The following is a 20,760-nucleotide window of genomic DNA, read 5'->3' as shown; positions in this document are numbered from 1 at the left end:
AGGGTATAAAGAGGGTAAGAGTTATATAATAATTAGGCGGTCTCTTAATTTAAATCAATGTCTAAGTAGACAAAACATTTCAAAATTATAAATTCTTTAATTATAATAAATTTTGTCATAAATATATTGCTATATATAGTATATATCAATTATTTCTTATATTCTATTGTAAATGTATTTCATGCTACTGATAAACTTGACTTCTGATTCTCAGGTCTTCAATCAAAGTAAAACTCTACAGTGCCTGTGGGTATACCAGCCCTAAGGTACAATACACATCAAGGATATTAATGTGTTATGCAGTTTGCTTTATTTCCCAATCTTGTCCAAGGCAAAGAAAAACATGGTATTTTGGAAGGTTAGATAATTTTAACATTTGAATGATCTCAGAAAATATTAATTTCTAACCATGTAAGCGCATATAAAAAATAGAATTTAATGTTTACATAGAACAAGAATTAACTGTTCTTCATAGACTCTGGTGCTAATCACTGTATTAAGAAGAATACTCTGCCTAAGTAAGCAGAAGATTATATATTTTAAGAGGTTTTATCATTTCTCTTTTGTGTCATATGACCTCTACTTCTGAGTGGAAATAGAAGAAAAGATTTAGGTCTAGCTGAAATTTAGCCATGTGTGACACTTAGATTGTTCTGGTTGTTCAGGAATTTACATATCTGTTTAACAAAAATATGTTAACAATTTATTATATGCATTAGGTATTGTAGTGTAATGTTGCACATAGAAGCAGACATATAACATTTACTCATGGACCTTACGATTCCGTGGGACCAACAGATATTGATCCAAACATTAAAATAAATAAATGTAAAAGTAGAATTGTAATAATTACTCCAAAAGAGGGACACATGATCTTATAAAGAAGTGTACTAGGGGAAATAGATACAGATGAGAAAGACTTAACTGATGATAACTGGAGGCTGAGGGTAGGGACAGGAAGATGTGATATGGAAGAACATACTTGGTACAGTGACGACAGTGAGCAAATATTTGAGGCCAACGTGGCTGGAGGGCAAAGAAAGAGGTGAGGTAAGGTTGGAGCTGTAGGCACGAGTCAGGCCCTACAGGTCCAAGAACAAACATATTTTAAGGCCTGCATGATATAATCAGATTGTTTCAAAAAAATAAATAAAAATCATTCTTACTGGACCAAGGAGAGGAAGATAGGGGAGAAGATGTCACAAAAGAAGTTAGAGTGCTATTACAGCAGTAAAAGTATGATGCAGGCCTAAATTTCTGATTTTGGAATTCAGTCTTACAACATTCAATTCAACATTTTCTGAGCATTCTAGCAGGTAGGAAATAGTGCTGGATATTGGCAAAAGCATATCAAGAGAGGGTTCCTACAAATAAGCAGTTCCAACACTGTTGACTGTATATTCACAGATAAATACAGTATGAATCTTAGTGCAATTCACTGTAAGAATATACAGACATGCACAGGCGCAGAGAAATATGCAGAAAAGAGAATTACAAGAATAAAATTATATAAAACTACAACACCCTACTGCGAACTATTTTACAAATTTCATGTAATTCTTTACACTCTTTTGAACTGATGTGTTGTCAGTTTTATTTTTATTTTTTGGAGACAGAGTCTCACTTTGTCACCCAGGCTGAAGTGCAGCGGTAGGATCTCAGCTCACTGTATCCTCGACCTCTTGAGCTCAAGCAATATTCCTGCCTCAGCACTCCCAAGTAGCTGAGACTACAGCCATGCACCACCACACATGGCTATTTTTTGTACAGACAGGGTTTCACCATATTGCCCAGGCTGGTCTCGAACTCCTTGAGCTCAATGGAGTTTTGCCAGTTTGCCCAGGCTGGTCTTGAGCTCCTTAAGCTCAAGTGATCCTCCTGCCTTGGTCTTCCAAAGCGTTAGCATTACAGGTGTGAGCCACCACGCCCGGCCTTTTTGTCAGTTTTAAATTAGTTTAAGTTGTCCAGCAATTGGATAGAATCATTCTCCCAAAACCAAGATAAATAAAAGGAAGGGAATATGGAGAAAAATATTGATGTGTAAAACACACACCATACTACAAATTAGTGGGCACCTTTATTCTCAGCTTTACTGTGATCTTTGGCAGATGTCCATCTGCACAGTAAACTGGAAAATGATTTCTACTGGACTATCATCAAGTAACTGGAACATGATTTCTATTGGAGTATCATCAAGTCCTGTGGTCCTAACCAATCTCCCCACTTGATGATAACCATGAAATTACTGGTCTCTACAATAAGTATCCCTTCTTTCCAATGAATGTATTCTATTATGAACTGTCATATCCTCTTAAAGATGGCAGACACTTCAGAAGTCACCTATATTTGCTCTACAGCAGGGGTGTCCAATCTTTTGGCTTCCCCTGCCCACACTGGAAGAATTGTCTTGGGCCACACATAAAATACACTAACACTAATGATAGCTGATGACCTAAAAAAATTGCAAAAATATTTCATAATATATTAAGAAAGTGTACAAATTTGTGTTAGTCCAAATTCAAAGCCATCCTGGGCCACATGTGGCCCGCGGGCCTCAGGTTGAACAAGCTTGCTCCACATGCATGTGTAGTGTTCAGCTGGTCTGGAGTTCAAAACCTCGTTGTCATCCTGAGTCCCCTACTCTGGATGTTCTGTGCTTGCAAATGTCAGAATGCTCAATATTCAGTTTTGGCACCCAGAAATAGCAGAATTCTGCCGATGTCATCTGATCATCACAAAATGGTACCATTGCTAAATAAGGCCACATATCTATATATACATGTATGAAATTATAAATATATATACATTTATATATGCATATATAAGTATATACATATAAAATATGCATATTTGAATTTTTTAAATTTTTATGTATTTAGGGAGTAGAAGTGCAGATTTTTTTACATGCGTTTATCTTGCAGTGGTGAAGTCTGGACTTTTGGTGTACATTACCCAAACAGTGAACACTGTACTCAACAGGTAGTTTTTCAACCCTTACTCCCCGTCAACTCTCCCACCTTTTGTAGTTTCCAACGTCTATTATTCCACCATGCTATATCCATGTGTACGCATTGTTTAGCTCCCACCTATAAATGAGAACATGAGGTATTTGGCTTTCTAAGGCTACTTATATTAAAGAGAAAGTAACTCCACTAATTTTTTTTAACATATTTAAAATGTTGAATCTGGTATCCTTTTAAAATCACTCAGTAATGTAAATTACATCCCACTAGGTTTTTTCCTAGCCTAAAACTCTGTAAAGAAAGTTTTTTAAAACCAAATTGGATAAATTTATGTTTGTATCTGTTAAATATCACTTTCTTAAGTTTAATCCATTGTTTAGTGGCTACTACCACAGGTTTAAAGCCTAAATTCCATTTAATTCAATAATATTTTTAATGAGTACTGATTGCTAAAACTGTAAGCCATATGAAGGGCAGTGACTTTGCTTTCTACAGATTTACCCTAAGCACAAAGAATAATACATGATAGTAAGTATGTGCTCAATAAATATTTGATAAATGGATTAATAAGTTATAGGCAAGGAAATGTGACTAGAAATATGTAGACTTGCTGGACTTGCCATCAACAAGCCCAACAATTTGAATAAAAAATAAAGAGTTAAATATTATAGAATGAATTAAATATAAAGCAATATAAAATATGCTAGGAAAATATGTATGGGAAAGGGATTATTTCTGCCCAGGATTCTCAGAGAAAGTCCAACATAAGAGATGACATTTGAAATGTGACTTGAGGGATAAGTAAGTCTTTACCAAAAACACCATCATCTATATGGTCTCTTATGAACAATCATCATTTCTAATTAGCCATAAAATAGTCGTTTAAATTTTCGTTGTCTACCATAGTTGCCACTAGCTGCATGTGGCTATTGAGCACTTGGAATATGGCTATTCTTCATTGAGATATGCTCTAAGTGTAAAATAAACATATGATGTTCAAGACTTAAGTTTCTCTTTTTAAAAAAGTAAAATATTGTCTCAATAATCTTCATGGATCACATATTAAAATGATAATAGTTTTGTATAGTGTGTTTGAAATATATTATTAGCATTTATTTCAACAGTTTCTTTTTACTTTTTCTAATAAAGCTACGTGAAAATTTCAAATTACATATGCATTTCACACTGATGGTTCACAATAACTTTATTTTGGACAACTGATCTAAACAAAAGACTCAAACACCAGAATACTCTAATTGCATATGGTCTTAGAGGTATTCTCAGATTTATTGTCAAATGACATGTTGAACAATAGGACAGCTATAATCAGTTTAATGATTAGTGTACCTACAAGGTATAGTTGAAAAATAATCTAATCAAAATAAAAAATCTGCCAGCACAATCTGGATGCAATTTCAATAATTTATTTTAAACAATCATCCACATTGATATGCAAGTATAACTTAGCCTTCCAAAAACTTCCTATTTTTTAATTCTTCACCATTTATTGATCCTGTTGATTTACATGAAGTTTATTAAAAAATCTGTCTTCTTTTTCTACTGGGCACTAATTAAGTTTTAGTAATTTTTTTCTTTTTTAATTTCAAAAATTGTTTAATTCTGTTTTTTAAATTTTTTTAAATTTTTATAGACATTTTAATTTTTTAAAATTAATTTTAATCTTTTTTTATTTTATTTTTCTCACTCTGTCACCCAGGCCGGAGTGATCATGGCTCACTGCAGCCTCAAACTCCTAGGCTCAAGCAATCCTCCTGCCTCAGCTTCCCGAGTAGCTGGGACTTTGGGTGCATGCCACCATGCCTAGCTAATTGTTTTATTTTTTGTAGAGAAAGAGGTCTCATTTGTTGATCAGGCTGGTCTCAAACTCTGGCTTCAAGTGATCCTCTGGCCTCATCCTCCCAAACTGCTGGGATTACAGTCATGAGTCATTGCTCCCAGCTTAATTTCCTTTTAATATTGAACTGAGCTTGAATTTTGTTGGCTTCAGATGGATCAGAAATAACCATGATGAAGAAACATGCTATCCCCACTCTTTTCAGGGTCATCTTGAAACTCTCTCCACTATCTCCAGGCACACTATTCCATCAGAGCTCAAAAAGGGAGGACATTAAGTGGAAACACTTTCCTGAAATTTTCCAGCCAACAATTTATCTTCATATACCCTCAATATTATTAACTTTTATTTTATGTAAGAATAGCCTACTCCACATTTCCACTTTCTTATATCCTGACTGCTCTCAAACCAGAGCAATCTGAGTTTTCCCTGCTATTTCCCAGGGACCAAGGCTACCAATGACTCACATTTTGCCAAATCCAATGAGCACTTTGTGGCCCTTTTTTTTACATGGCATGTGTGTCCTATCTGACACAGAACTTCATGGGAAATTGTGTGGGTCCGCTATCTTGAACTTACTCAATAGTAAACAATGCAGCTGCTTGCAGCGAGTTTAAAAGAAAATAAACAATTTTATTTTCTTCTTTCAAACCATGTTTTTTTGTAGCCACTCTTTTCTAAGAAGTACTTACAGTAAATCTTCCTCAAGTTCCATACTCGGTTTCTTGGCTTTTCACCCCACATTCTTCCTAGGCGAGCCCAGTGAAACCCCAGGTTCAACTGCCTCTTGTATGGCAAGAGCTGATGTCTCTGACATCTAAATCTCTCATCTATCTCTTTGGATAACCAGACCATATTTTAAAATGACTACTCCTATTTTTGATAATGCAAATATATATACTCATCAGAATATAATAAATGTTCAAAATGGTAATTATCATTGTTATGATTTGTTATGACCACTTCCTTTACTGATAACAACTTTCTGTCCAATGGCTCTCACTCATACACCATTCAAAATTTCTAAGTTTAATCTCATTAACGTTCCTCTGATTTGTTTCCTATTGTGTGCTCTTTTCTCAAGTAGGAAAATACCCAAACCAGAAACTCCAAGTCATCTGTGACTCCACCTTCTTCATTTCCTCTTTGCTTCAACTCTCCATCACCGCATGCTCCACTCAAACAATTCTTCCTACTCACTGTAACCAAGAATATGCCTCAAGTCCCGTCCCTCAGCCCATGGCTCCTGCCTATTTAAGGACCTCATCTGCGTTGCATACCTGTTATTCCATTTCCTGGATGTATGGAGGTAGGTGAGATCCTTTACTTCTCCTTGCCTCAGTTACCTGCTCTCCAATATGAAAATAATAGTCTTTACCTCTTATAAACCACTTCATAGTAACTTTATGAAGATTAAGTGAGTGTCTATTTGTAAAGGGCTTAAGTAGTGCTACCCACAGTAGGCGATAACTGTCTTTATTCAATAATAGGTCATACATTGTGGAATTTCTACAATAAATTCATATGATTCAGTTCCGAACTTTTTGGGTGTTGCTAAAATTTGAGTCATGTGATTCATACACAGATAAAATGTAAACTTTACCATGCTCTCACTTGTGATTTTGATGACCTCCTGTAATGTAGTTAATTTATCTGATATCTACTCTATTCTATCTAACTGACGGTAGAATAATGAATTATGGAGGATACTGGACCTATTCTTGAAGGGATTAAAATATGTGGAAAAGGTTGCAAAATTTTCAGTAGAGTGCAATAAATAATATTTATGGATTAAAAATATTGTCTCTATATGTGCCTTTGACAGGCCCCAATAATATACTGGTTAAGAAGACAGAGAGACGAAGATCACTACATTCAAAAGGTTTTATATTTGAGCAAAGAAAACAAACACATATAGTTACAAATAAGTACTACAAAAGAAACAAATACTATGATGGAGAATAATGGTGCTTAGGACACTCCTCCTGAGGAGATAACACTGAAGCTGAGGCATTAAAGATAATCTAAACTTGACAGGTGAAGAAATGCAGGAAGACTGTTTCAGGAGCAGGGTAGCACACTTGAAAATAATGGGAAGAAACGCATTGTGGGTCCTCCTACTGGTTGAGAGAAGGATCAGACAGCCTGATACCTTAGAGAGGTAAGCAGGTGGCCAAACATGCCTTGCTTTGTGGACCATGAGAAACATTTAGATTCCATGTAAGTGCATCTGAAATGTTTCAAGCAGAGACGTAAAATAATTTATGTCTTAAAAAGGAAAGTGATAGGAAAAATGCAGGAGTACCACCACTGTCTGGTTGTGATCAGAAAAGGATGTCATCAGAAGTGGCATTTAAGTAAAGATCTGAAGGATGAGTGGATTTACGTGCTATGGAATCTGAGGCTCATGCAGATCCCCAGTAACACAAGGCTAAAATTTTATCTTGCACTTATGGACCAACTCTACTACTTTTATTTTTGCAAAGGATAACTAAAGATTCATAATTGGTATGATCCAAGTGAGTGACTGAGATATCAACTATAACATTTAACTGAATTTTAAACTGATAAATAAAATATCTCTGACATCTCTTCTGCAATATTTTCTCCATCTACCTTTAGTCATATATTCTACTGTTTTTTCTTAAGCCCTTATATAGTTCCATGGCTACTAACCTGCAAACATCATTTAAATTCTTTTAATCTGTGACACATCAATTTTTCTGTAGAGTTAAGGAGATAGACCAAATCTCAGAAAAATGTCCTAAAAATATAGCGTCTTGGGAAATAGAAAAAATAGGGTCTAATGGAGATAATCCTATGGGTAATAAAAATAAGTCAAATCAATTATTCTTTTCCACAATTCAGTACATTCAAATCATTCACGCTTCATTCAGCATGCATGTATAGAATGTTCTGTTATGTGTCAGATCAGCATCTGATTAGCTGATATAAATAATGACAAAATAATGTTCAGTCCTTGCCTCTAAAAGCAGTCTACTGGAAGAGATGGACAAGGAGATAAACCAATTAAACAGACAAGTCGACCATGTCAGATGCTCAAAGACTGCTAGATGCAAGGTATTATGGGGTCCTTAGGAACAGCATCCAGCCTGGACTCAGAAGCCAAAGAAGTGCGTCTTCAATACAAAAAAAAAAAAAAAAAAAAAAAAATTGACCCACTTGTAGATTATGGGAAGAGGCATTCCAGGCAGAAAGACAAAGCAGAATGAGTCTTAGAAAAAGCAACAGATGCAATTTGACTAAAGTACACCAAGTAAGTAGAGAAAAATAAAGTCAAACTGGATGAGAGCTGTCTGGTACTGGAGAGTCTGTGATTTTAGTCTGTAGACAATGGGATTTCATGAAAATACGATTTTAAGCTGCGGTGTTTCAAAATCCCATTTAGTTTTTAAAAGCTTACTCTGAAATACTGACGGATTGGTTCTGATAGAGAATGGTAGAGTTGCCACAATTCAGGAGGAAAAAAAAAAAGACCCTGGACAAAAATCAGGTGCAACAATAAGAGACAGAAACAAATTGATTCAAGGCCCAAAAACTAAAGTTAACAGTATGTGCGGACTAATTGACCATGGAGGATGCAAGCGAGAAGACGGAAGCCTGGCTGATTCCACTCAGAAAAACATATAAGTGGGTATTCAATCAGGAAAAGAGGCAAGAATGTAGGAAAATTGCTCAGGATTGATGTTTCTCTGGAGATTTCTAGTTTCAACTCTCCAATAGAACAAGGAACATACATTGGTAGACCTCCTGTAATAGATCATATATGCTTAAAGGGGCTAATTCTTTCCAAGTCTCAAGAAAGGGAAAAGTTTAACTAAAATGGATCTTTTCTTTTCCCAAAACAAGTATCACAAAATTCATTTCCTTTAAATGTGAGGGAGAATGATTTCACCTTAGTCTCAGTTAATATAGAAGAAAAGTTTCCTAAGTACAATGAATGGTTTATGCACAAAGACAATTTGTGTATTAGATTTTGGTTGTACTGAAATATAACCTCAAATTTAACACACACTCTTCTAAACATGTTTTCTAAAGACTGGAAGGAATTGGAAGATACTATAAAATAGACACTCAGAGTTAACCGAATAAATAATAAAACCACTATGTGAAACACAGCAAAGATACTCCTGCACCTAATTTGGCAGTGCCCAGGCTGTAATATCCACAAACCTGTAAGCATTTCCTAGAAACAGAGAGGTCTTTCACGTGGGGAAACATATATGGAAAAATACCTTATAAAGAACATTTAGGAGGCAGGCTTCCCTGTGTTTGGGTCCGGACTCTGACACTTGTTCATTCTGTAACTTTTTGTGTATTTCCTCTAAGTTGTAGTTTTCTTATATAAAATGTGGGCATAGTAATACTTGCCTAGGAAATCTCTTATGAGCATTAAATTAGATAAAGCTTGTAAAGCACTTAGGCTGATGTCTAGCACATAGTACGAGCTTATGAAATGCAATTCATTTTTTATTATGCTCATGCTTGTTTGAAAGAGGAACACATCTGCTACTATAAATTAGCCAACAGTAGTCTGCACATTATTATCTCTAGGGCTGCTATGCCAATTATGTTCTATCATTATAGATTATGATGGGGATCCATTTTTTTACATAGTGCTGCCACTTTTTTTCTCCACAATCTTCAGTGATGTTCACTATCATTTGCAAAAACAAGAAAGCATTTTTCTGTTGGAAAAAAATCATGAATAGCCACAGTTACTGGTGGCCAAATATAGTTTAGTACTTGGGAGATCAGGGAAGAAAAGTGAAAAGATGCATGACAGCTAACTGTCAAGCTGACCATCATAGACATACTGGAGGAGACCGAATCCCATGCAGTAAACAGCAAGTTTCTACAAACACCTTATTAAATCTGAGTTTATGAAGCTGGGCTGGTCTAACTAATCCCAATTGTGTCAGAAGAGCAAAGAGCTGGAAGGAACGCTAGAAGACTTCAATTACTGGGCCCTGGAAGTCCAAGTACAGAAACACCCAAAACTTAATATAGTAAATTCAGTGGCAGCCTTATTGTGCAAGAAACAGGTTTTATTTTTGTGTATGCCGAGGAACAGAAAGAATTTAGCTGTAATATTTTAAGAATAGGAGTACAATATTTAATATTGAAACCATATTTTTAAACAAAACAGTTGAAATTCTTCTCCTTTATTAAAAAAATCTACTGAATAAATAATCGAATGTCTTAGTCATTCATAGAATTTTTTTTCTTTAAAGTGTTTTTAGCCTGGTGGAAGAATAATTGTGTATGTCTGTAAGTGTGAATTTAACTATGATAAAAATGCATAATTAAATTGGTATTGATGTTAGTTATGGGTTGTAATTTCTATTCAAAATTTAGAATACAGGCCGGGCACGGTGGCTCACGCCTGTAATCCCAGCACTTTGAGAGGCCAAGGCGGGTGGATCACGAGGTCAGGAGATCGAGACCATCCTGGCTAACACAGTGAAACCCCATCTCTAATAAAAATACAAACAATTAGCCGGGCGTGGTGGCAGGCACCTGTAGTCCCAGCTACTCGGGAGGCTGAGGCAGGAGAATGGCGTGAACCCAGGAGGTGGAGCTTGCAGTGAGTCGAGATTGCACCACTGCACTCCAGCCTGGGTGAAAGAGCAAGACCCTGTCTAAAAAAAAAAAAAAAAAAATTTAGAATACCAGAGTATCTTGCCATATGTTGATGAAATTTTTCTGCATGAAAAATAATTGAGGTATCTAATTGATTATTTTATGATGAAATGTGAGTATAGCAATAGCTTATCTCATTCAAACTGTACTCACTGTAAATAAAGGAAACCCATGTTCTAATTTTTGGATTTTTTTTTCATTTAAAGAATTCAGGTGTAAATAAATTAGAGAGAGAGCAAGAATGAGAAATCAGAAAGCAGTTCATCCATAAAGTTAGGAGAATACAGATAGAGATAAAGACTGACAAATACAACTTCGGATAACATGAATTATTTCAGCAATATATAGGCGTAAACATATTTATATTTTCACGATGTACTTCTTGTGCAGTTTAAATAAAAATCAGTGATTGAGAATAAGGAGACCTAGAATCTTACCCCGTCATATCCTCTAACTTGTTATATGTACTCCTACAAACCCTCGAACTTACCCTACACCTCAAGTTTTCCCTCTGTAAGGTTTGGGTTAGCATTGATACGTGGGATGCCTTCCAGCATTAAACTTCTGGTAATGTCAGTGCATCCCCATCCGTCATGTTACATGTAGCTTTAATTAGTCACATCACTGGAACACAAACTTAACATGTAGTCAAGTACCTTTTTTTTTTTTTAAGAGTCTAAAGTCCAGGTACTTCTATAGTTTCATTCTTTTTTTTTTTTTTTTTGTTTTTTTTTTTTTTTGTTTTTTTTTTTTTTTTGAGACGGAGTCTTGCTCTGTCGCCCAGGCTGGAGTGCAGTGGCGGGATCTCGGCTCACTGCAAGCTCCGCCTCCCGGGTTCACGCCATTCTCCTGCCTCAGCCTCCCAAGTAGCTGGGACTACAGGCGCCCGCCACTACGCCCGGCTAATTTTTTGTATTTTTAGTAGAGACGGGGTTTCACCGTTTTAGCCGGGATGGTCTCGATCTCCTGACCTCGTGATCCGCCCGCCTCGGCCTCCCAAAGTGCTGGGATTACAGGCGTGAGCCACCGCGCCCGGCCTATAGTTTCATTCTTAATTGAACTTGATTTTCAAGTTCTTATTCCCCATCTCCACCTCCTCACCTTGCTTTTTGCCAGTAATATTTGTTCAGAAGTCTTAAAAGGTTTGAGTTACAAATCCTGATACCTAATGCCTAGAAACGAGATTCACACCACTTTCTGAGGTGTCATAAAGAATGAATTATTTGTGTACTAGAAATCAATTTTCATGCCAGGCTGTGGGCCCCACATGCACCCCCTGTGAATACTTAATCTCATTGGCTTCAGCACTTACTGTGTGAAAATCCAGAGTCTATAATAGTGGCGACAAAACTAAAACAGTATAAAAATTCCTGATTATCTGCTTTTAAAAACTTGGGAAATAAGACACAAAGAGACCACATTTCTGAGCTAAAATGGTAGCATTTGATGATACTGATTATTGTGTGGTCACTATAGAAATGGAAGCTGCAAGCAGAAGCCCCTTGTTCCAAATTGTATTTCAGTACAACAGACTTTGTTTTACTTACGGTTTTGAAGACTTGCGGTAACTCTTAAAAAAATGAATAAAATATAGGGCACAAAAAAATTGATCCTTAGAAGTGGAAGAGATATTCCAAATTTGGTGTCTACTTAAGCAATATGTTCAAATTTAGCAGAAAGAGTAGCCATACTTAAATTTTGACAAATCCCCCAAACTTTTATGCACAGACACACACACAAGCATACATGCACATACTGTATATGTATACTCATATACAGTATATCTAAGAATGAAATATAATAAAACTCTATTTCAGTTACTTTCAGTAATAATTAGCTGATAATTCTTAATTAGAATCATCAAGCAACCTAAATCGCAAAAAATCCCAAAGTCAAAGTTGAAAGTGTTTACTAAAGTGAAGCAAGCTTCATCAGACAGCCTTAAAATAATCAAAAAACAATTCATTATTGAGGATAATTAAAATTTGGGGAATACAATCTTATTCCTTTACGGCATAATCTAAGTTGTTTATGATACACTGACCAAACTTAAAAAGTCTTCCACACATCATCTACTTATCCTCTCATTATTCCTTCTCATTCTGTGCCTTCAAGCTAAAGACATTCTAAACATGAATGGATTTTTTTTTTTTTTTTTTTTTTTTTAGATGGAGTCTCGCTCTGTCATCCAGGCTGGAGTGCAGTGGCATGATCTCGGCTCACTGCCAGCTCCGCCTCCTGGGTTCACGCCATTCTCCTGCCTCAGCCTCCCAAGTAGCTGGGACTACAGGCGCCCGCCACCACTCCTGGCTAATTTTTTTTTGTATTTTTAGTAGAGACAGGGTTTCACCGTGTTAGCCAGGATGGTCTTGATCTCCTGACCTCATGATCCGCCCGCCTCAGCCTCCCAAAGTGCTGGGATTACAGGCGTGAGCCACTGCTCCTGGCCCACAAATGTAATTTTTAAATCTTCTAATGTAGGTTATTCTGCTACTATAAAATAAATATGCAATTTACATCTTTTTTATTAAGTTTTAGATTCCAAAATCTAAATTTTTTGGCCTCCCTGCACCACATTGGAAGAAGAATACTTGTCTTAGGCCACACATAAAATAGACTAACAATATCTGGTGAGCAAAAAAAAAAAACAAAACAAAACAAAAAACAAACAAACAAAAAACCGCAAAACATTTCATAATGTTTTAAGAACATTTAAGAATTTGTGTCGGGCCACATTCAAAGCCATCTTCAGCTGCTTGCGGCTTGCAGGCCACAGGTTGGACAAGTTTGTTTTAGAAGCTTCTAGACCAATAAAAATTTGTTTGCAGTGGTTCTACCTTTTTCAAACTTTAATCCCTTATATTCTAATTAGATTTAGCAGGTAATTACTTCCCATTTCTAATGAAATTCTGAAAGTTTCTGCATCTGTGTAAAGTTCTATGCAAAATATAGTTTATTTTCTTTTAGATTTACTTGTTTAGCTTAAGTTACTTAAGACAATAACCTCCATTTTCACGACAGCATTTATAATGTATTAGTAACTAGGTCTTAGCTTATAATTTTCCATCAGTAACACTTAAAATTTATTGAACATTCACCATATGGAACGGTATATTGAATGTTTACTCTGTTCTTGTTGTGTTCGTGTTACAAGTTACAATGTGAAGAAAAATGTTTCTTTGGAATAAACCCATTACCCAGTGTCCACATTGGACATCTCCCAATTTTTAAAAGGATGCTGCAAAATCTGAGTTACTGCAAATATGAGTTATAAATTTAATTTAACCGAGTAATAAACTAATCATGGAAATGTACAATTAAATGTGTTAGTATTTAATACTTTAAAAATATAAGATTTGCATTGCTGAAATTGTAATCATTTCAAATTTGCAAATAATTTAAGAAAGCAATCAAATAATTTCTTTAAAAAGTAGAATATAAAGCCATAATTTCTAAAATAAGCATATTGTCAAAACAATATAGAAAATGTATTCTCCAGTCTAGTGTATCTCCTCTGTAGAGTGCTCTAAAGCAAAGAACTGGGATAAGATAGATTATTTTTAATCCTAAAAAGCATTAATTTAAAGCATAAGCCATTTATCTTCACTGTTGCTTTGAAAATGAAATTGATACAACTTTTTGTCTGAGTTATACTTCAAATATACCACTGGAAAGTGTGGCCAACAATTGTATTACTTAGTGAGCAAAACACCATCCAGGCCAGGAGCTGTGGCTCACTCCTGTAATCCCAGCACTTTGGGAGGCCAAGGTGGGTGGATCACCTGAGGTCAGGAGTTCAAGACCAGCCTGCCCAACATGGTGAAACTCAGTCTCTACTAAAGATACAAAAGTTAGCTGGGTGTGGTGGTGCACCCCTGTAATCCCAGCTACTCGGGAGGCTGAGGTGGGAGAATTGCTTGAACCTGGGAGGCAGAGGCTGCAGTGAGCCCAGATCATTCTACTGCACTCCAGCCTGGGCAACAGAGTGAGACCCCGTCTCAAAGAAAAACAAAACAAAACAAACACCATCCAGTAGAATATCTGCATATGTTCACCAAATGGAGAAGATAATAGGCAAGTCGTGACATGTGGTTATTGTGACAGCTCTTTCAGAGCAAGCCCTGGAAACAGTACCTACCCAATAATGTCAAGACACAGGCGAGTATGGCTATCAGGGCTCCTGTACTGAGGCCAGCAGGTAGGACATAGGCCTCTGCATTGCAGGTCTGGGCTACGCCGTCAGCATCACAGTCACACACGCGGATGGTGAGGGTGTTGGTGCTGCTAAGTGAGGGAGATCCACTGTCCACAATGAAAATTGGCAGATAGTAAACTGATTGTTCCTGTCTCCGGAAGCCGTTTCTCCTGGTCAGTATTGAGGCTGTGTTGTCTAGGATAACGAAAGCAAATGTATAACACCAGATTTCTGATGGAATCAGTCTTCCCAAACTTTATTTAAGTCACTCTATTTACTTTGATGCCTTAATTAGGGAAATCTCTGGAGTTGCAGATTTATTTCAACAATTTTCTTTCAATTCTCTAGGACAGAGGGACATTTCCAGTTTAATACATTATAAGACATTTATGTTATTCTATGCAGTATAACAAAAGAAATAGTTATAAAGTAAAACAAAATATGAAAATGTTTATGCATCACTTATTACATTAATTGCAACTTTATAAAAACTACATCTTTTACTTATCTTAAATTTGACACCATAAACTTATAGAAAGGATGGTACATATTAACAGGTTAAATATTTTGCAGTATCATCATATAGCACAGATAAAATTTTCAGTCTATCCTTTCTTAGACAAGTTGCAAGACCAATATTTAAAAAGGGTAAAATCAGCTACTTTAGCTTTATTTAAATTGAATATACAGGGATATTCAGAAGAATTTTATCGTAAAATTTTGAAAATTATATATAGGTATTTATAGCTACTCTATGTGTATAAACATTTTGTCAGTGATAAAACAGGCTATTTATGTTTACCTTATATTTAATATTTGAATTCATCTAAGCAATTATAGTAATTATGAACTTTAAACAAGTGATCAATAAGTCTATATAACGTGTGATTTATATATCAAAAATATGTTTTGTGTGTGTTAGCAGTTTTCCAACTAACTTGTCTTAATTAAATAATAAGAGTATTTATGAGATTTTTTAAATTAATAGCTGTTAATAAAAATATAAAGGAAAAGAAGAAAAATCAGGATCAGAGTTTCATGCAGTGTGCTTTTATCTATTTTTCTCTCTTCCAAACTGTCAAAAAGATTTATTCAATGATAGCATGAAAAAATTAACGGTACTCTAGTGAAACAGCGAGATGAAATCTGTCTCAAACAGCACAAAACAGCAAGCTCATATTAGACTGCAGAAAATGTATTACATGCAATTATAGAAGAGACAGTAATAAAACAGTTTGATTTTCAGATTCCATCTGGTAGATTTTTATGTAAAAAAATCTTTTATTTTAGAATGTATGAATTTGAGAAGGTACTCACTAAAAAATTAAGCTGGAGTTGTTGAAGGATACTGTTTTGAGTAAGTTCCTGTACATTTCACAATAGCACGCAGGCCTATGCCTCTGCCTCCTACCAACTCCGATGTCAGAGGCATTTATGACTTGATACAAAAAGTTTTAGAAAGTTGTTGATTTGTAATCTAACATGACTGATACCAAAATCACACACACACACACACACACAAACACACACACACACGGTGAATTGAGGAACACAAGCTGAAATGCCCAAAAAGTGAGAATATGACTCTATATTCAGAAAAGTGATCATATGGAAGACTTCTTAAGAACTGACTCTCTCTGTATTCATATGTTTTCCTTCAAGGTACAGTCAAGGGAGCTCTGGGCTTAAGGTAGACAATTTTTCAATTGTGTGGCAATGTGGATGTCCTATAAATGCTGACATTTTAGTGCACGTGCTGTACAGCAATCATGGTGGTATTGGATGGTGACACATGGGGGATATACTCACATTCTCCTTGTGAAGTTCATAAATTCCCTTCTCTGCACTTGTACCAGATGAACCTAAATGCTGAGAATTATCCTTCTTAACTATGATTAAGTCAGTGAGTCTGGAGTTACCCAGGTAGAGAATGCTCTACCTTCTATATTACTAAAGGGACACAATAGTATTCTCATTGAGTAGGAAATAAGATCAGGAAAAATTATCATTTTCAGATTGAATTTTTTTGAGATTGAAATTTTTTGAGGCCTAGGTTGCACTAAATAAGGTGATGGCTTCATGCAAAACTTCTTATCCACCTTTTGGTAGTAAGTCTGTTTTAAACAAGCCAGTAATGACTAGCAAATCCAATTCTGTACTTTTTTCCTAAAACCAGATTTACATAAACAACATAAATTTTTAAAAATAGATATTTTCCATGCTGTTGGGGGGTACTATTCACCCTCTACATCAGTTTCAAATGCTCTCCTTCCACTAAAATAAATATCTTGAATAAAAACTCATTCGAACATATGATTCAAAATTAGACAATGATAGCAGGTTCTCGTGCTTTAAGTTCTTATAACTGTCAATATATATTATTAAGCAAAACTAAAATCTACTTGTAGGTATTTGTAAGTTTTTTTTACTATAATGATATTTAGGAAACTGCTAAGAGTGTTTACCTTTGAAGCAGAGAAATACAATTTGACACGAGAGGGAGTTTTGTTATTTTTAACATTATATTTCTTAGCATCATAAATATGTCATTATTTTATTATTATTTGCATGAATTACATTTGCATTTATGTAAAAATAAAAGAGTAAGGGGTATTATCGAAAACATTAAGTCAAAGTTGATTTAGATTAAAATGTGTAATGTCCAGTTCTTTTTCTTATGTCTCAAGTTGCATCTATGAGCATAGTACTTATTAGGGTATTTAGTTGACCATCAACTTATTAGATTATTTGGATAATGAACTTGGTATACAAATAAGAAAACGAGTGCTTATAAGAAAAGAATGAGAAAAATCTAACTTTCCCTCCTATTTGGCTTTAGGCCTAAGAAAATTTAAATAGCAGCTTTTCCTTCATGATAGTAAATCCATAGATAAAAATTACTTGAGGTGCTCATTGCCCTTTAATTATTGTCCTTGCTTTAAAAAAAATCCATAATCAGCATTCCTGGGGAGAAAAATACTTGCTTAGAGTATCTGTACCTGCTGCCTCTATCGGTAACAATATTAATACATTACCTTTGTTATCTTTCAATGAAAAGTTGTGGTTATTTGTTGCATCCGTTGTTAAGCTGAAGTAAAACTGGTGTCCATTGGATGGCTCATCTTTATCCACAGCACTGATTTTCTGGATAACCTAGGAAAAGAGAAAGTAAAAGATGAAAGCACATTGGTGTGCTATGCTTAGTTTTCTGTGGCAGGACAAAGCAATTTTACACTTTATAATAAATACCATCTCCCTGAATGAGCTAGGGAGAAAGGATCCGATGTATTATTATGAACCCAATCTAAAAAAGGGCTCTGAAAAACAAATCATGTCATTTTCTTAGTTCATGTTTGAATTCACTTTTGTGAACTTCAGAAATAAGCTGTTCCAATTGATTAGACATCCCAGGAAACATCACAAGACACTGAACAATAGATGAACAAACCAAACTGAGATTGAACTGCACTTAATTCTTAGAATTGTAAGACACTTAAACCCGGTTGGGTAAGGTAGGAAACAGCCCAATCAGCGTACTATGCTGTCTTTCTCCGAAAGGAGTCTAAGTTCTTAGCCATTTAACAGAGCTTTTACAATGTTTACCTTTCCTTCCTGAGGAATTTTCATCACCCCAATTAAACTGGAATTTGAAGGTTCCTTTAATATTAGTTCATGCTACACATCAAAGTGTTAGTTTTGCTGAAACAAGCTGATTATATTTTATCTTAAAGCTGGAAGAATTTCAAAGGCAACTGCTGCTGGATATTTTTTAAGAAACCACAAATTAGAAGCAAAGTGTTCTGAAGACTCTTACCTGCCCCGGCTGGGCATTTTCACAGACGGTGGTCTCATAGTCCATGGCAAATTCAGGGGCGTTATCATTGATGTCAAGTATAGTGATGGCCACATAGCCTCTTCCTACTTGAGATGGATTCTCTAATAAATAAGACAGTGTCTTATCATTTACTCTTTGCCCATCTAAAGCACAATTCTAATAATAAAATGACGAAGCTGAGAATGAAATCTAGAATCATAATGCTGTATTACTTAAAAGGAGCTATAGAAAATACGAAAATATGATCCAAATACACACACACATTCATATGTATGTATTTGTATGTGTGTGTATATATATACACACATACATATATGTATATACGTATATGTGTATGTATACATACTTATGTATATCCAAATATATACATATACATGATTATATGTGTGTGTATTTGGATATACATGCATATATATAAATGTATATTTATGGTCTACATGTGTACTTGTAGTTTTTTAGTCCCTGATGAGAAAATTGTTGAAAGAAGAATAAATGGTAAACCATGAATTTCAATGTTCTTTGATGTTAGAGCTCATATTTGCATGACTATACATTTGTATTATCAACACATGTATTATAAATGCATACACATTAAAATACACAATATATCATATACATATATGCATGCAAATATGCATTCATTTTTCAATAGTTTTTATTTTATTTTATTTATTATTTTATCTTTTATGAGGGACTAAACTTAGTTCAGTATCAGAATATTCAAATCCAGATGTCTTTGTTATAGATCAATTTACTAATTACTGTAAGTTATTTCACTAACTCCATAACAGCATAAACACAATATATGAATTATGATCAGAAAAAAAGAAATCCTGTGAAGGTAATATAGGCCCATTGTTTTTTAGTCCTTGGTTTTCATAAATTTTGTAAATATTATCATAGAAAGACAGTGAAGATAAGTATATTTCACAGCTTAGAAATTTGGTATTCTCAAGTTTTTGTACAATTCAAAGAAGGAACTACTTTAATTAACTTGAATTTACAACCTCATGACAATCGATTCTCCACTCACTGTCCTCCATCTTAATTTAGTTTTAAGCCTCACAACTTACGGCTCTCCATTGCAAGGACTGTGATATTGTGAATAGCATTTGTCTCTCGATCCAAAGACTTGGCAGTTGTGATGACCCCACTGTTGGCATCAATATTGAAGTATCTCTCCAAGTCTGTGTTTCTGTCAATTGAGTACCTAATTGAACATTGAAGAAAAGAAAAGCCTTCAACATGTACGTTTGATTATAATTTGCTGAAACTATTTCATTATTTGTGTAGCTCATTACTAAATCCTACTGACTCTCTGATCTGTCATATTAATCACATAAATGCATGCCTGGTTTAAAACTCTCCCCACATATTAGATGGTTTATAACCTGTGTCTCACTAATATGTTTGCTTTTCTGTCAGACAGTACTAAATGAACACCACAGTAATCTTCACAATGGCTTTGAATATGTCATTAGAACTTCAAGTTCATTATTATTACTATTATTATTTATTTATTTTTGATACAGGGTCTTGCTGTCACCCAGGCTGGGGTGGAGTGGATCACTGTAACCTCAAACTCCTGGGCTTAAGGGATTCTCACACCTCAGCCTCCTGAGTAGCTAGGACTAGAGGCATGCACCACCATATTTGGCTATTTTATTATTATTATTATTATTATTATTATTATTATTATTATTATTATAGATGCAGGGTCTTGCTATATTCCTCAGGCTGGTCTTGAATTCCTGGGCTCAAGTGACCCTTCCATCTCAGACTCCTAATATGCTGGGATTATAGGCGTGAGCCACCATCACTGGCTAAATTCATTATTATTATTATGACTCCTGTAAACCATTTACAATATATTTGGTAACCCTGGTCACGATTATGGACCCTTCTAAAATGAAACATGTAAACATCTTGCCCATTTGCATATACTTAGTAATATCTTTTGTTCTGACGGCACCAACCTGTTATTAACCCTCTTTCTTTTTTTTTTTTTTAAATCTTACTCAGTGGTCTTGACCAGGATTCTAAAGACATGTTTCAAAGTGGAACCCCTGAGATTGCATGGCTATTTTTGCATGTAAAAGCCTTTTCTTGAAATATCTGTAATCCAAACATTTTTTCAGCAGTGAAAAATTACTACTCCACTTGTATTTTTAGTCCATGCTATTATTTGTTTTATACACAAAATTTACCCTCCCCTCATGATGATCATCTTCAGGTTCCCCTCGCAGTC

The 20,760-nt window shown here is 35.1% G+C and overlaps 1 protein-coding gene across 4 annotated transcripts in view; it reads right to left on the bottom strand.

The window, feature by feature from the left end:
* The window catches only part of CDH7 (cadherin 7), a 140,086-nt gene that overhangs the window by 12,800 nt on the left and 106,526 nt on the right, over positions 1-20,760 (bottom strand). For 3 of the 4 annotated variants that reach the window (NM_033646.4, NM_001362438.2, NM_004361.5), the window contains exons 8-11: positions 19,586-19,722; positions 18,492-18,613; positions 17,713-17,830; positions 14,621-14,872 (exon numbers count right to left, since the gene is read on the bottom strand). In NM_033646.4, coding sequence (NP_387450.1) covers positions 14,621-14,872; positions 17,713-17,830; positions 18,492-18,613; positions 19,586-19,722 — 629 coding nt within the window. Of the gene's footprint in view, positions 1-13,412; positions 14,873-17,712; positions 17,831-18,491; positions 18,614-19,585; positions 19,723-20,760 lie in introns of those variants that run through there. The other variant, NM_001317214.3, reaches the window with a different exon arrangement.

This window comes from Homo sapiens, chromosome 18 (assembly GCF_000001405.40).
Source record: "Homo sapiens chromosome 18, GRCh38.p14 Primary Assembly".
NCBI lineage: Eukaryota > Metazoa > Chordata > Mammalia > Primates > Hominidae > Homo > Homo sapiens.
Note: the sequence above shows the minus strand (reverse complement) of the source record. Positions and strands in the feature narration are given on the sequence as shown.